The sequence below is a fragment of the Homo sapiens genome, chromosome 5, assembly GCF_000001405.40.
Source record: "Homo sapiens chromosome 5, GRCh38.p14 Primary Assembly".
NCBI classification, from domain to species: Eukaryota; Metazoa; Chordata; class Mammalia; order Primates; family Hominidae; genus Homo; species Homo sapiens.
This window is the reverse complement of record NC_000005.10, coordinates 175495863-175512008: the sequence shown is the minus strand read 5'-3', so window position 1 is coordinate 175512008 and position 16146 is coordinate 175495863. Positions and strand designations below refer to the sequence as shown.

Genomic DNA, 16146 nt, shown 5'->3' with positions numbered 1-16146 from the left:
TTTGCATAGAAACTCAGGCCAAGAATGCTTTCAAAACTTTTCCTAGCAGTATTTGTATATTTCCCACATGGGTGTGCTGGGACCATGCAAGCTTCTAAGGCCTTGTAGCTAAGTGTGGTTGCAGGAGTATGGGCTTTGGAGTGGGGAGAGAGAGAGAGAGAGAGAGATGCTCTTGCCTCTCTTCAGAGCTGTGGCCTGAGGCACACTGCCCTCTGCAATGCCTCTGGTGGGCTGTCAGGATGGGTGAACATTTAGCACTTCGTACACAGAGTCAGGCACAGACCACAGTCCTGGTAGGTGTTACTGGTGACAACTCTTCCCAAACTTATTGGAAGATATAACTAAAATATGCAGCTGAAGATAAGCACTATAACAAGAAAGCCATATGACTTGAACTAGTTTAAGAAATAATAGAGGGATTTAGAGCCAGGCAGGTGATAACAAATTAAACAGCTTTATTATGGAAATAAAAATCTGAGTACCTTGGTCAATGCATTGAGTCCTAGAGCTGTTGCTACGGCACCAGTTGTTGCAGAAACGTAAGCTGTTCCCAACTCACTGAAAAGAAAAAAGGATATCGTGTGGACGACGAGGGCATGTCAGGAAACTCTGGTGCAACATTATTTGAAGAAATAAAAGGGAAATATAAAAGAGCATGATTCAGAATGAAGAGTCTACAAAACAACATTCACTATCACTCCACAAGTAGGGGAATCTAGAGAAAAAGCAAGCAGATCCATAAACAATGGGATTCTTCACACGTATCTTGACTATAACTCCAAAAAAGTAGACATGTATTCTTTGAAGTGAGTTGGTTAAAATAAATAAATAAACATACAGACTTTGTATTCGTGAGAAGGAGGGGAGCTGTGTGTAGGAAGCTATGAATACAGGGGAATGCATATTGGGCTAAATGTTTGGGGCATATTTGCTTAAAAATATTTCTCAAAATATTAATATACACACTGAAAGCAAAAATGAAGTGCTGCCATTTAAAAAATGATATCTTAACTGTATAAAAATACTAAGTCTTATCATCCAAAAACTATAAAGCCCAAGCAATTCTCTCTTCTTTTAAAAGAAATTTTAATTGCAATAAACACCACTTGGCTGCAGATTTCAAGATCCTTTGTTCCATATAACAATAGTAGAAGAATATGTGTTGTCAAAAGCAATTTTAAGTGATAAAAAAGAGAAGCACTTTTCTTTCAAGTGTAATACAATTATGCTAACTAACGTTTTTGGTTAACTAATCTTGTGAGCCTATTTTTTTTTTAACAGGTGACAAAAAATTAAAACTCATTGCTTTCTTTTGGACTCCACAGATGAGCTATTTTAAAAACATATCAGATATAAAGTTCACACCGCCATGGTCTCCCCTTGATTTCTGCAGAGACCACACTTTGTCTCCTCTACTCTTAACGTTGGTGTCTGTCAACTCAGGCAGGGTAGATGGCGGAACAGCCTGTCACTTATCAGAGGCCAGGCCGGTGCTGCCTGCCATGTGTTCTACAGGGCCATGAGCTCCAGGGTGAGAAGGAGGTAACATCCTACCAGTACCTCCAAAGGCACGAGTAATGTCTGAGAAGGCAGGCTGGAAGAAGACTGTTTTCTTGATAGGGAGAGAGAAAATGAAACACTTTACTTTAAAAAAGAAAAAAGCTACAAAAAAGGATGCTACATAATATTCTGAACAATATAAAAATATGCACACATAGGCTTTTTTAAACAGGAGAGTATCACCACTTAATAAAATGAAGGTTGAAGAACTGCAGAGAGTGGTCAATTCTCGTAGCCTTACTTGACAGTGAGGGGTGCGTCTCCACTTCTGTTGGTGTAATTGACGACGGCATTGAAGGACTGGTTAATCCACTGCCAGAACAGCACAGCCGGCGTAGTCCTAAAACAGAGGCATCCGTCACATACCCACCATCACTGGGCCCAGCCGCGGCATGGAACAGAAAACGTGAACACCAGTAACCAGAGAGGAGACGTACTGGGGAAGGGAGAAAGCCATAAGGCCACACAGGCTTAGGATCTGTGTGCTGGGCAAGCTTTTATCCTCTGGGATCATCAGTTTCCTCATTCCGTAGATATAGATAACACCAAGCTCAGAGGGTTACTATGAGGATGAAGTAAGATAAAATTTGTAGAGAGCCTGGTACAGAATAGACATTCAATAAATGCCAGATCCCTTCTCTTGGGGAAAAAAGATACAATTTGTAGGCTAAGCGGTCCTGGGCCCTCCTAACAGCACTTGCAATGCTATATGTCTATGTCTACACATACACCTTTAATGTGCCTATATCTACACTTATACCTATACCTATATCTATATGAATGGAGTCAAAGGAGAATTTGCCTGCAGACTCTTTATTTTCCTTCTCCACTTCATTCTCTTTTGGGGCTAAGATTTAGAAAAAAAATTCAACCTCCTTTTGAACAACTAAGAAGATGCTATTTAGCAGAGGGGAAGGGTTAAAAAAAAAAAGAGTCCCAGAGTAGCAACATTCAAACATAATGGAACTAAAAGTGAAATGACTTCTTTTCTTTTACATCAATAATACCCCATTTTTTGTTTTTTATTGTCTTCAATTTTATTTTTTATTGTATATACTAAAGGAGTTCAACATGATGTTTTGATTCATAAGTACATTACGGAATGATTCAATCAAGCTAATTACCTTGTTTGTCACTTCATATACTTATGAAATAATACTTATTTCAACAAAATTATTTACATACAAAAATATACTTTGAGCTTCTGTAATGGTAAACACACTGTTGCTACATATTCATAACATACCTGTAAAACGTCATCATACAACCTGTGATGGTCATGTTCATGGGAACCTGGGCTGACATTCTTCCTATCAAAATCATCTTCTCACCAGTGTCAGGATGAAAAGCTGAATCATAGATGTACTTTGCTCTCCACAATTCATTTTCTGTAAGACCAGGAGGAACAATTCCTTGCCTAAGAAAACAACAAATAATATGGCAATTGCTCATTTCAAATATCTCCCCAGTGTCCTAGAGACAAGTGGCTACAAGGTTTTAAAAGTTTATGCTCTGGCTGGGTGTGGTGGCTTACGTCTGTAATCCCAGCACTTTGGGAGGCTGAGGCAGGTGGATCACAAGGTCAAGAGATAGAGATCATCCTGGCCAAGATGGTGAAACCCGTCTCTACTAAAGATACAAAAATTAGCCGGGTGCGGTGGCACCCGCCTGTAATCCCAGCTACTCAGGAGGCTAAGGCAAGAGAATTGCTTGAATCTGGGAGGCAGAGGTTACAGTGAGCCAAGATCGCACCATTGCACTCCAGCCTGGTGACAAAGCGAGACTCTGTCTCAAAAAAAAAAATTTATGCTCACCTAAAACACTTGTGCCTAGATGGAGTGACAAATTTGTTACATATAGTCAGTAAAAATTTCAAAACATACAGGACAATAAACACTTAAAATGAACATTTCAGGCTGGGCGCGGTGGCTTATGCCTGTAATCTCAGCACTTTGGGAGGCTGAGGCAGGAGGATTGCTTGAGCCCAGGAGTTCAAAACCAGCCTTAGCAACATGGTGAGACTCTGTCTCTATAAAAAAATAAAAATAAATAAAAACTAGTCAGGCATTGTGGCATATGCCTGTGGTCCCAGCTACCTGGGAGGCTGAGGCAAGAGGATCACTTGAGCCCGGGAGGTTGAGGCTGCAGTGAGCAGTCATCATACCACTGTACTCCAGCCTGGGCAGAGAAAGACCCTCTCAAAAAAAAAAAAAAAAAAAAAAAAAATCAAATCTATTCATCTCAAATTATCTGTAGTTTGGAAAAGCCAGAAAAGAAATTATATATAGGGAATAGGAAAGCATTCAATTTTGAAATATTCTTCAAGTGACATATTTTATAATGTATTTTGAATTTGTAAACTCTAAAATACTTTAAACAATTAGACAAAAGTTATGGTAATCAAGGATATTAATTCATTTTTATACCTATAGAATGAAAAGCTAGTTCAGGAAGAATTTTTTTTTTTTTTTTTTTAAAGACAGGGTCTCACTCTGTCACCCAGGCTGGAGTGCAATGGCATGATCTCAGCTCACCGCAGCCTTGAACTGCTGAGCTCAAGTGATCCTCCCACCTCAGTTTCCTGAGTAGCTAGGACTATAGGCATGCGCCACCATGCCTGGTTAATTTTTTTGCATTTTTTGTAGACACAGGATTTCACCATGTTGCCCAGGCTGGTTCTGAACTCTTGGGCTTAGGCGATCTGCCTGCCATGGCCTCCAAAGGGCTGGATTACAGGCGTGGGCCACCATGCCCAGCCTCAGAAGACTCTTGATGAAAAAAAAATTAGGTGCCTCATTCTTTACTTCTTCTCTTTATCAAAGAAGCACGTATTCATTGTCAAAAATTGAGAAAAAACAGGAATCCATTAGAGCAATTAAAATCACTCAAGTCTTTACCTACTCATCTCCACTGGTAATGTTTTCATGCATGTATTTTCAGTCTCTCCTCTAGAAGCTAAATGTGATGTGTTTACTTAAAGGCATCACACCAGACCTGCTGCTTTATAACCACCTTCTTTACTCAGTAATATACTGTAAACATTTCTCTCTGTCTTCAGATATTCTTCTATATAATCTATACTGGGTTGAACAGTGTCTCCCCCAAAATTCATGTCTCACCTGCAACCTCAGAATGTGACCCTATTTGGAAATGGGATCTTTGCAGATGCAATTAGTTCAAATGCCAAACGGCATACTGGATTAGAGTGGTCCCTAAATCCAATGAATGGTGTCCTTATAGGAAGGCCATGTGCAATCAGACACAGAAGAAGGCCAAGTAATGAAGGAGGCAGAGATGACAGCAATGTACCCATAAGCCAAGGTGCATCAAAACATTCCTAGAGCCTCTAGAACCTTGGAAGCCCCAAGGAAGGATTCTTAGAGGGAGCATGGCCCTGTTGACACCTTGATATCAGACCTTGAGCCTCCATAACTGTGAGGCTCAAGTTGGTGGCAATTTGTTATGGCAGCCTTAAGAAATTAATAGGCTGGGCATGGTGGCTCACGCCTGTAATCCCAGCACTTTGGGAGGCCAAGGTGGGTGGATCACGAGGTCAGGAGTTCAAGACCAGACTGGCCAACATGGTGAAAACCCGTCTCTACTAAAAATACAGAAATTAGCCAGTGCAGTGTCAGGCAACTGTAATCCCAGCTGCTCAGGAGGCTGAGGCAGGAGAATCACTTGAACCTGGGGGGCAGAGGTTGCAGTAAGCTGAGATTGTGCTACTGCACTCCAGCCTGGGCAACAGAGTGAGACTCTGTCTCAAAAAAAAAAGAAATGAATACACCAACTTTTTAAGTACTGTATAGTATTCTCCTACATGATTATAAGATACTGTAATATATACCAATCTCCTAGTGTTGGGCATATTAATTGCTTCTAATTTTACTCCATTTGTAAAGGATGAGGAAGTAAATAAACCCTCATACATAAATCTATCCCCACATCCAAGATTATTCTGAAAGAAATGAGTAAATATGCTGGAACAAAAGCTATGTACAACATTAAAACTTTGGCTATGTCTTCTATCTTTTTTCTCTACTTGACTAGTCTTTTTTTAAAAAATTACCATCCACAGCAGCATCATTGTTATTTATGTAATTTGTACGCGTATTTTATACACTGCGATTAACCCCAATTTTTATTTTTTTGGTTGTGTTATCTGCTGTCCTGAAAATTATTATTTTTATGTAATCAGGTAGGAATAAAGTTTCTATCTAGAAAGATTATACAAATGTTCACCGATATTTCTAGCATTCTCAGAATAGTTGTTTTCTTTTTGTCATTTAGGTTTTTAATGAATTTGGAATTTATCTTAATATGAAAATGTGGACCGAGCACAATGGCTTACGCCTGTAATCCCAGCACTTTGGGAGGCCGAGACGGGCAGATCACCTGAGGTCAGGAGTTTGACACCAGCCTGGCCAACATGGTGAAATCCCATCTCTACTAAAAAATATAAAACTTAGCTGGGCATGGTGGCAGGCGCCTATAATCCCAGCTGCTCGGAAAGCTGAGGCAGAATTGCTTGAACCCGGGAGGCAGAGATTGCAGTGAGTCAAGACAGTGCCACTGCACTCCAGCCTGGGCAACAAGAATGAAACTAAGTCTCAAAAGAAAAGAAAAGAAAATGTGAAACATTCTTAACTTTCTCTTTTGGCTGGCCTGCATCAGTTGAGAGTTTGTGAATACCAGCCTTGATTTCTAGACTTTCTATTGTGTTTCCACTTATCTACATATTCTGATGCCAATACCCACCATTTTAACTTGACAGTCAATTTTAATCTTGGGTAGAGCAACCGTCCCACACGCTATTCTTCTTTTTCTTTTTCTAAGATGCCTTATACTAATTTATTCTCCCAGATAAACCTTAGAATTATTATTATTATTATTATTATTATTATTATTATTGTGATGGAGTTGCACTCTTGTCGCCCAGGCTGGAATGCAATGGCGTGATCTTGGCTCACTGCAACCTCCGCCTCCTGGGTTCAAGCAATGCTCCTGCCCCGGCCTCCTGGGTAACTGGGATTACAGGCACCCGCCACCACATTCAGCTTTTTTTTTTGTATTTTTAGTAGAGATGGGGTTTCACCATGTTGGCCAGGCTGGTCTTGAACTCTTAACCTCAGGTGATGCCCCTGCCTCGGCCTCCCAAAGTGCTGGGATAACAGGCATGAGTCACTGCACCCGGTCAGAATTATTTTATCAGTTTTACAGGTGACCACAGTTGTAATTTGACTGAAATCGTATTAATCTGGAGACAACTGACACCTCTACAATCTCCAGCCTTTCTCCCCAGGCCTACTGCACATTTCTCCATTTACTCAAACTTAACATGATTCCAAATGTTTTCATCATTGACGCAAATTTCTGGGTGCGTTTCTTCCCAAGTACTTTACATTTTTAAAAAATTGTTCTGGCCGGGTGCGATGGCTCATGCCTGTAATCCCAGTACTTTGGGAGACCGAGGCAGGTGGATCATGAAGTCAGGAGATCAAGACCATTCTGGCTAACACTGTGAAATCTCGTCTCTACTAAAAATACAAAAAATCAGCTGGGCGTGGTGGCGGGCGCCTGTAGCCCCAGCTACTCAGGAGGCTGAGGCAGGAGAATGGCGTGAACCCGGGAGGCAGAGCTTGCAGTGAACCAAGATCGCGCCACTGCACTCCAGCCTGGGCGACAGAGCAAGACTCCGCACCCTCCCCGCCCAAAAAAAATTGTTCTTATGAAGTGAATAAAAAACAATGTCTAATTGCTTGTTGCTTTTATACAGGAAACTACCATTGTGTCTATTATAAATAGCCCCCTCATTGTATTTTAATTTGTTCTATGGTTGTTCAGTTGGTTATGGTCTCTTCTTTTTTTTTTTTTTGAGATGGAGTCTTGCTCTGTTGCCAGGCTGGAGTGCAGTTATGCAATGTTGGCTCACTGCAACCTTCACCTCCCAGGTTCAAGCGATTCTCCTGCCTCAGCCTCTGGAGTACCTGCGACTACAGGTGTGCGCCACCACGCCCGGTTAGTTTTTGTGTTTGTAGTAGAGACGGGGTTTCACCATGTTGGCCAGGCTGGTGTTGAACTCCTGACCTCAGGTGATTTGCCTGCCCTGGCCTCCCAAAGTGCTGGGATTACAGGCGTGAGCCACCTCGCCTGGCCGAGTATTCTCATACATATTACATACATTATGGAAAAAAAACAAAGGGCTCATGTCCAAGTTTGGGAAAAATGATTAAGCAGCTTTATTTTCACTCCTGGACTTTTTGGAAACTTCGAACAGTTAATAGAATGTGACATTCTCAAGAGTGGAATGCAAACTTTCTCAAATTTGACTACCAAAATCCTCTCCCTTTTTCTCTCTGCCTCTCTTGATCCCTCTCTCCCTTCCCCCACCCCCCTCTTTTCTTTCTTTAAGTATTCCATAGGATCCCTTTTTTTTTTTTTTTTTGAGATGGAGTGTCACTCTTGTTTCCCAAGCTAGAGTGCAATGGCGCAATCTCGGCTACTGCAACCTCTACCTCCCAGGTTCAAGCAATTCTCCTGCCTCAGCCTCCCGAGTAGCTGGGATTACAGGTGCGTGCCACCATGCCTGGATAATTTTTTGTATTTTTAGTAGAAACGGGGTTTCACCATGTTAGCCAGGCTGGTCTCGAATTCCTGACCTCTGGTGATCCACTTGCCTTGGCCTCTCAAAGTGTTGGGATTATGGGCGTGAGCCACCACGCCCGGCCAGGGTTCCTTTCCTTTAGAGGTCTTTTTGGGAAGTTCAGCTCTAGTGTTCCATTATTTCGTGCATTGCTCACTACTGATGTGGGATATGCATTCTTCATAATTAAAGAAGTACCACCCATTATGCCTAGCTGATTAATTATTTTATGGGAAATAGATATATAATTTTACCTTCTTTTGGGCATCTATCAAGATGTGGCTTTTTTGCTCTGACATATTGATGTGATAAATTACACTAATAAATGTCCTAAATATAAATCACCTTTTCATTCTCGGAATAAATTCTACCAGTTCATGTTTTAACACAAGGTTGGATGCTATGTGTTGGTGTTTTACTTTGGATTTTTGCATTATCAATTTGTAAGACAGGCCACTGTTTCTTTTTGTATTTTTTAAATCATTTATTGTATCAGGGTTGCAATGAATCGGGAAGCATTTCCTTTTTTTCTATGATCTTGTAACATTTTAAAATTAAATCAGCTTTATTGAGGTATAATTTAAATACCATAAAAGTCATCCACTTTAAGTGTCCAATTTGCTAAGTTTTGAAAAAATATACTCAGTGGTGTAACCGCCCCGGAATTGTGGTACAGGATATTTCCATGTCTCCAACAGTTCCCTTGGGCCCCTCTGGAGTTATTTCCTCACTTCCTGCCAACCAATGGATCTGTTTTCTAACACTATATTACCTTTTCAAGAATTTCACACAAATGGAATCATACAGTGAGTAGATACATATTTTGTGTATTTTGTGTCTGACCTCTTTGACTTTGCATAACACTTTTGAGAAGCACCCTGTTGTTTATATGAGTTGGTTAATCTGTTCGATGGATGGATGTACCAGTTATTTATTTATTTATTATTATTATTATTATTATTTTGAGATAGAGTTTTGTTCTTGTTGCCCAGGCTGGAGTGCAATGGCGTGATCTTGGCTCATCGCAACCTTTGCTTCCCGGGTTCAAGCGATTCTCCTGCCTCAGCCTCCCAGGTAGCTGGGATTACAGGCATGTGCCACCATGCCCGGCTAATTTTTTATATTTTTAGTAGAGACATGGTTTCTCCATGTTGTCCAGGCTGGTCTTGAACTCCTGAGCTCAGGCAATCCTCCCGCCTCCGCCTCCCCAAGTGCTGGGATTACAGGCATGAGCCACTGTGCCCGGCCAGTACGTTATTTATCAATTCTCTTTTTAGTTATTCTGAAACTGCTTTTGCAAAATTATAACTAAGGAAATTATGACAGTGAAAGAAATCAGAACTAACTGACTCTATCTTGCTTGTAATCCTTAAGCTGTCCTTTTTCATTCCTGGGCATAGGCTGAACTAACCTTGGGAAGGAATTCAGTTCATGGTCTGGCTCTGAAACAAAATTGATAACACCCCCCAAGACCCCCTTCTTGCCTGGGGTCCAGTCTGTCTTTACAGGACTACCAAATTAGCTACAAGATCAGAAATTACAGTTTAGGGGTCATGCAGTCTCTGGCTCCAAGAATCTGAACCTCCCCAAATTGCTCCTGGGGCTAACATCACTGTATTGTAAAACCTAAGATCAGTGTTTGAGATATTTTGCACTTTGGATCAGCTGACACCATCCAGACCAGTAATCTGGCCCAACCAGTTCTGCCATCGCACCCAGGAAGAGAAGACATTAAAAAACCTTGCTTCAACCCTCTATGAGTCCATCTACAACCTGACCAACCAGCACTCCCCACTTCCCAAGCCCCTAGCCACCAAATTTTCTTCAAAAACTCTGATCACCGAATCAGTCGGGGAGACTGATTTGAATAATAATAAAACTCCGGTCTCCCTCACAGCCGGCTCTGCATGAATTCCTCTTTCTCCATTGCAATTCCCGTCTTGATAAATCGGTTCTGTCTAGGCAGCAGGTAAGGTGAACCCACTGGGTGATTACAAAGTCTAGTAGGTGAAGTAGGTGTGAAGTAGCATCTTCTTGTGGATTTGCATTTCCCTAGTAACTAATATGCTGAGCATAGTTCCATATGCTTACTTGCTATTCCTGTATCTTCTATGGTGAAGTGTCCTAAGTCTACTCAAATCTTTTGTCCATTTAAAAAAATTGGGTTGGGTAATTACTGGATGGATATAGTTCAAGTGATATAGTTCAATATTGATAAGAGTTCTTTATATCTTCTGGATACAAATCCTTTACGAGATACAAGTTTTGCAAATATTTTCCTTGTCTGTGAATTGCATTTTTATTTTCTAAACAGTGTCTTCTGTCATAAAAAGACTTTACTTTTGATGAAGTCCAATTTATCAGTGTTTTTCTCTTCTTTCCGTTTCAATTGATAATTGTCCATTCTTATATCTTATCTAAGAAATGTTTGCCCATACTGCCGGGCGCGGTGGCTCCCACTTGTAATCCCAGCACTTTCGGGGGCCGAGGCGGGCGGATAACGAGGTCAGGAGATCGAGACCATCCTGGCTAACACAGTGAAACCCTGTCTCTATTAAAAATACAAAAAATTAGCTGGGCGTGGTGGCACGTACCTGTAATCCTAGCTACTCGGGAGGCTTAGGCAGGAGAATAGCTTGAACCTGGGAGGCAGAGGTTGCAGTGAGCCAAGATCGCGCCACTGCACTCCAGCCTGGGTGACAGAGCGAGACTCTGTCTCAAAAAAAAAAAAAAAAAAAAAAATCTTTGCCCATATCAAAGTCATAAAGATTTTCTCCCATTTTCTCTAGAAGTTGAATAGTGTTAGCTAGTATATTTAGGTCTACTATCCATTTCAAGCTAAATTTTGTTTACAGGATGAGTTAAGCATCAAGATCCATTTTTTATACAAGAATCTAATTTTTCCAGAACTATTCATTGAACAGAGTATCCTTTCCTCATTGAATTATCTTGGCTCCTTTACATAAAATCAGTTAACTATACACATTTGTGCCTATTTCAGGATTCTCTTCTGTTACGTGGATCTAAATGTGTCTCCTTACAACAATGCTAAACTGTCGTTACTACGAGAGCTTTATAGTCAGTCTTAAGACCAGGTAGTGTGAGTTTCTCAGCTTCATTCTTTTTCAAAATTGTTTCCAATATTCTAGGCTCCCTGTATTTCCACATAAACGTTAGAAGTAGCTTGTCAGTGTCTAAAAAGAGCCTGCTGGGGTTTTGATGATTACAATGAATCTTACAACAATTTGGGAAGAGATGACATCTTAACAATATTGAGTCTTCCAATACAGGAACACTGTATATCTCTCCAGTTTTTAAAAAAACCCAAGCTCTGTTTTTTTCTCTGTAATTTGTGTGTGTGTGTGTGTGTGTGTGTGTGTGTGTGTGTGTGTGTGTGTGTGTTGGTGTACAGGCATTTTATATATTTTGTTAAAGTGATCTCTAAGTACTTAATATTTTTGTTGCTACTGAAAATGGTATTATTTTAAAAATTTCAAAATTACAGTTGTTAATTGCTACTAGATAGGAATGAAATTGATTTTTGTATATTGATCTTGTATCTTGTAACCTTACTAAACCCATTTATCCTAGTTGGTTTTTTTGTAAATTCTTTTTTTTGAGACAGAGTTTTCTCTTGTCACCCAGGCTGGAGTACAATGGTGCAATCTCAGCTCACTGCAACCTCCACCTCCCAGGTTCAAGTGATTCTCGTGCCTCAGCACCCCAAGTAGCTGGGATTACAGGCATGCACCACCAGGCCTGGCTAATTTTGTATTTTTAGTAGAGACAAGGTTTCACCATGTTGGCCAGGCTGGTCTTGAACTTCTGACCTCAGGTGATCCACCCGCCTTGGCCTCCCAGAGTGCTGGGATTACAGGCATGAGCCACTGCGCCTGGCCTGGTAAATTCTTTCTATATAGATGATCACGTTTTCTGTGAATAAGGAAAGTTTTACTTTTTCATTTCCTATCTTTGTCTTTTTTGAAAAAAAAAGTTTAAATTTTCTCTTATTGCCCTAGTTAGAACCTCTAGCACAATGCTGAAGAAAAGTTAACGAGAGCAGAAATCCTTGCCTTGCTCCCCAATCTTAGGAGGAACGTATTCATACTTTCACCATTAGGTTTGATGTTAGTCGTAGGGTTTTTGTAGTTGTACCTTCCCCTTCTATTCCTAGTTTGCTGACAGCTGTATCATGAATGGATGTTGGATTTTGTCTGCTTTTTCTGCATCTATTGATATGATAATACGGTTTTCTGTTTTAGTCTACTGATACAGTGATTTTTAAATGTTAAACCAATCTTGCATTCTTGTTATAACTCCACTTGAGTTCTGCTTATTTTGGGTATTGCCCTTTCCGGGTAGATTTGTTAAATTCTGTTAAGAATTTTTGTGTCTATGTTTATGAGGGGTGTTAGTCATTTTTCCTCTAATCCCTTTTTCTGGTTTTGCATCAGGGTACTTGTAGCTTCATGAAATGAATAATGAAGTGTTTCCTGACTCTTCTGCTTTCTGCTGGAGTTTGTGGTTTGATATCCCTTTTTTTTTTTTCTTGAGACAGAGTCTCACTCTGTTGCCCAGGCTGGAGTGCAGTGGTGCCATCTCGGCTCACTGCAACCTCCGCCTCCTGGGTACAAGCAATTCTCCTGCCTCAGCCTCCCGAGTAGCTGGGATAACAGGCATAAGCTACCACACTCGGCTAATTTCTGTATTTTTAGTAGAGATGGGGTTTTACCATGTTGGCCAGGATGGTCTCGAACTCCTGGCCTCAGGTGATTTGCCCGCCTCAGCCTCCCAAAGTGCTGGGATTACAGGCGTGAGCCATTGCGCCTGGCTGGTTTGATATTCTTCCTGTGAAAAAATTCTTTCTTTACCTGTGTAAAGCCATCTGGCCTTTGAGATTTTTGTGGGAAAGATTTTTATTTTATTACCATCTTGCTATTTGTTTTCTGTTTGTCTCATCTCCTCCTCATTCCTTTTCCCCTCTTTCCCTGCCTTCTTTTGGATTGAGTCAATTTTGGTAACCTATATACTGTATTCATAGAATGTTATATATTTCACTAAGATTTTTAAAATCTTTAGCAAAAAAGCTATACAGTAGGCTTTATTTTTATATTCTATTTCTCTGTTAGGTAGCTTTCTTACTCCTTTTGTTATATATTTTGAGTTTTATTTGTTTTCTTTAGAATGGTTAGACTTACCAGAGGCTTATCCTTTTCTGGATTTATCAAAGGACAATTTCTTACATTTATTTTTTAATCCTATTAATTAATTTCAGACTTTTAAAATGAACTCCTCTCTGTTTTGAAAAGCAGTGTATGTAGTAGTTAACAGCATGAACTCTGCGGTCAGATCGTCTGGATTTTAATCCTGGCTCTACCACCTACCGCAGCAGGATTCTGTTACCACCTCCGTTTCTTAATCTGAAAAATGGAAATAACATTATCTACCCTCAAAGGTTGTGAGGGTTAAATTAGTAAATGTGAAATGATTAAAGCCGTCAGTATCCAGCACTCAGGAAGTACCTTGCAGGGTTTACTATTTTCCTATTATTCTGCTGTTCTCTAATTTCTTAGGCTGGGTTCTCAGTTCATTCATTGTCAGCTTTTATTGTTTAATCACAGAGATATGTAAAGCTATAAACTTTCCTCAGAGTACAATTCCTTAAAGTTTCTTATTAATTTTCTCATTAATAAGATTAATAATTAATTTTCTCATTAATTTCTCATTGTTTTTACTTTGTGATTTTTTTGTTTTGATCAAAGAATTAAAACAGCATAAAAATTCTAGTGTGATTAGATGATCTATCAAAGATGATAAAAGGTATGTTAGAATTTCCTACTACAATTGTGGTTTTTTTTTTTTTTTTTTTCTTTTTGAGACGGAGTTTTGCTCTTGTCACCTGCGCTGGAGTGCAGTGGCGCAATCTCGGCTCACTACAACCTCCGCCTCCTGGGTTCAAGCAATTCTCCTGCCTCAGCTTCCCCAGTAGCTGGGATTACAGGTGCCCGCCACCTCACCCAGCTAACTTTTTGTGTTTTTTGCACAGACAGGATTTCACCATGTTGGCCAGGCTGCTCTCGAACTCCTAACCTGAGGTGATCTACCCGTCTCGGCCTCAAAAAGTGCTGGGATTACAGGTGTGAGTCACTGCGCCCGGCCCTGTGATTGTGTTTTAATCAAGTTCTATTTGTATTGCTAACCACCCTTTCTTTGTATATTTTGATGGAACACCACTGGCTCATGAATACTGTCTGTTCGGCATTCACTATATCTTTATCAATATCAAAATATTTGGATCTATTTGCCCAGAATTGTAATTTCCTACTTTTTATTTGCAATTACCTTTGTCCTGCTTTTTAATGTTAGCCATTTTTATTACTTTCTTTTTGGTTCATATAGCATTGTTCAAATAGCATTGTGGGTATCCCACTAGAACTATATATTGGCAGTCATACTTAAAACATGATACCTCTTCAACCCTAACTAGCCCTTGAACTAATCTCCCCTGAAGGCTCATGGCTGATTTATCTCTTGATGGGGAGGTAGGAAACTCTGAGTTATTTCTTACATACTGATTTAACAACTGGCTTACTGATTTATATATATAAAAGTATATAGGCGAGGCATGGTGGCTCACGCCTGTAATTCCAGGACTTTGGGAGGCTGAGGTGGGCAGATCACTTGAGTTCAGGAGTTGAAAACCAGCCTGGCCAACATGGTGAAACACCGTCTTACTAAAAACATGAAAATTAGCTGGGCATGATGGCAGGTGCCTGTAATTCCAGCTACTTGGGAGGCTGAGGCAGGGAGAATTGCTTGAACCCGGGAGGCAGAGGTTACAGTGAGCTGGTGTGCCACTGCACTCTAGCCTGGGTGACCGAGCAAGACTCCATCTCAAAAAAAAAAAGAAAGAGTATCTATCAGCACAGAACCTAACAAATACCCCAAAGCTAATTTGGAACAGGCCTAGGCAATTTATCACCCAGACTTTAAGGGTCTATATGCTCTAAAAAGGTGAAGAGAAAAAAAAAGGGAGACATTTAGGGATTCTTGGAAAAATGTACTGTAATTTCGTAAGTACAATTACATCATGCAAGCTTCAGGTATTCTAAGTGGGATGTCATATCATCACTGAGCTTTTTAAGTGTTTCCACCCAATTTTAAAGTCTTTGATTTGATTTTTAAAATTTTTAATTTGTTGTTATGTTAGTAAATTATTAAGGCTTACAATTTTCTGTTCATGCATATTCTACTAACTTTAAAATGAAACATGTTAATGCATTTATTGAATATAGTAAGGAGCAAAATCATGTATATTTCTGAGTTTTGTTCCTATTTGAGACAAGATGTTTTAATTCTTCCATTTCCTTTTTGTTTTTTGACACTATAATCTAGGGCTTTAGATTCAGATAGCTATTACTATTTTTTTTTTTGAGATGGAGTCTCACTCTGTTGCCCAGGCTGGAGTGCAGGGAGCGATCTCGGCTCACTGAAACCTCTGCCTCCCGGGTTCAAGTGATTCTCCTGCCTCAGCCTCCCGAGCTGGGATTATAGGTGCGCGTCACCATGCCTGGCTATCTATTACAATTTTTTATAAAACACTTTTAAGGCCGGGAGTGGTGGCTCACGCCTGTAACCCCACCACTTTGGGAGGCTGAGGAGGGCGGATCACTTGAGGTCAGGAGTTTGAGACCAGTCTGACCAACATGGAGAAAGTCCATCTCTACTAAATACAAAATTAGCCAGGTGTGGTGGTGCGTGCCTGTAATCCCAGCTACTCGGGAGGCTGAGGCAGAAGAATCGCTTGAACCTGGGAGGCGGAGGTTGCTGTGAGCCGAGATTGCGCCACTACACTCCAGCCTGGGCAACAAGAGCGAAACTCCGTCTCAAAAAAAAAAAAAAGCCACTTTTAATCTCTTTTATTCTATACAGTATTTCATACT

General features: G+C 40.4%; 1 protein-coding gene across 7 annotated transcripts in view; it reads right to left on the bottom strand.

Annotated features, from left to right (window-relative positions):
* SFXN1 (sideroflexin 1) overlaps positions 1-16146 on the bottom strand; it is a 51183-nt gene that overhangs the window by 17734 nt on the left and 17303 nt on the right. For 5 of the 7 annotated variants that reach the window (NM_001322977.2, NM_001322981.2, NM_022754.7 and 2 more), the window contains exons 3-5: positions 2807-2977; positions 1802-1900; positions 483-558 (exon numbers count right to left, since the gene is read on the bottom strand). In NM_001322977.2, the coding sequence (NP_001309906.1) occupies positions 483-558; positions 1802-1900; positions 2807-2977 (346 nt within the window). The remainder of the gene's footprint in view (positions 1-482; positions 559-1801; positions 1901-2806; positions 2978-16146) is intronic. The other 2 variants (NM_001322982.2, NM_001322978.2) reach the window with 1 other exon arrangement.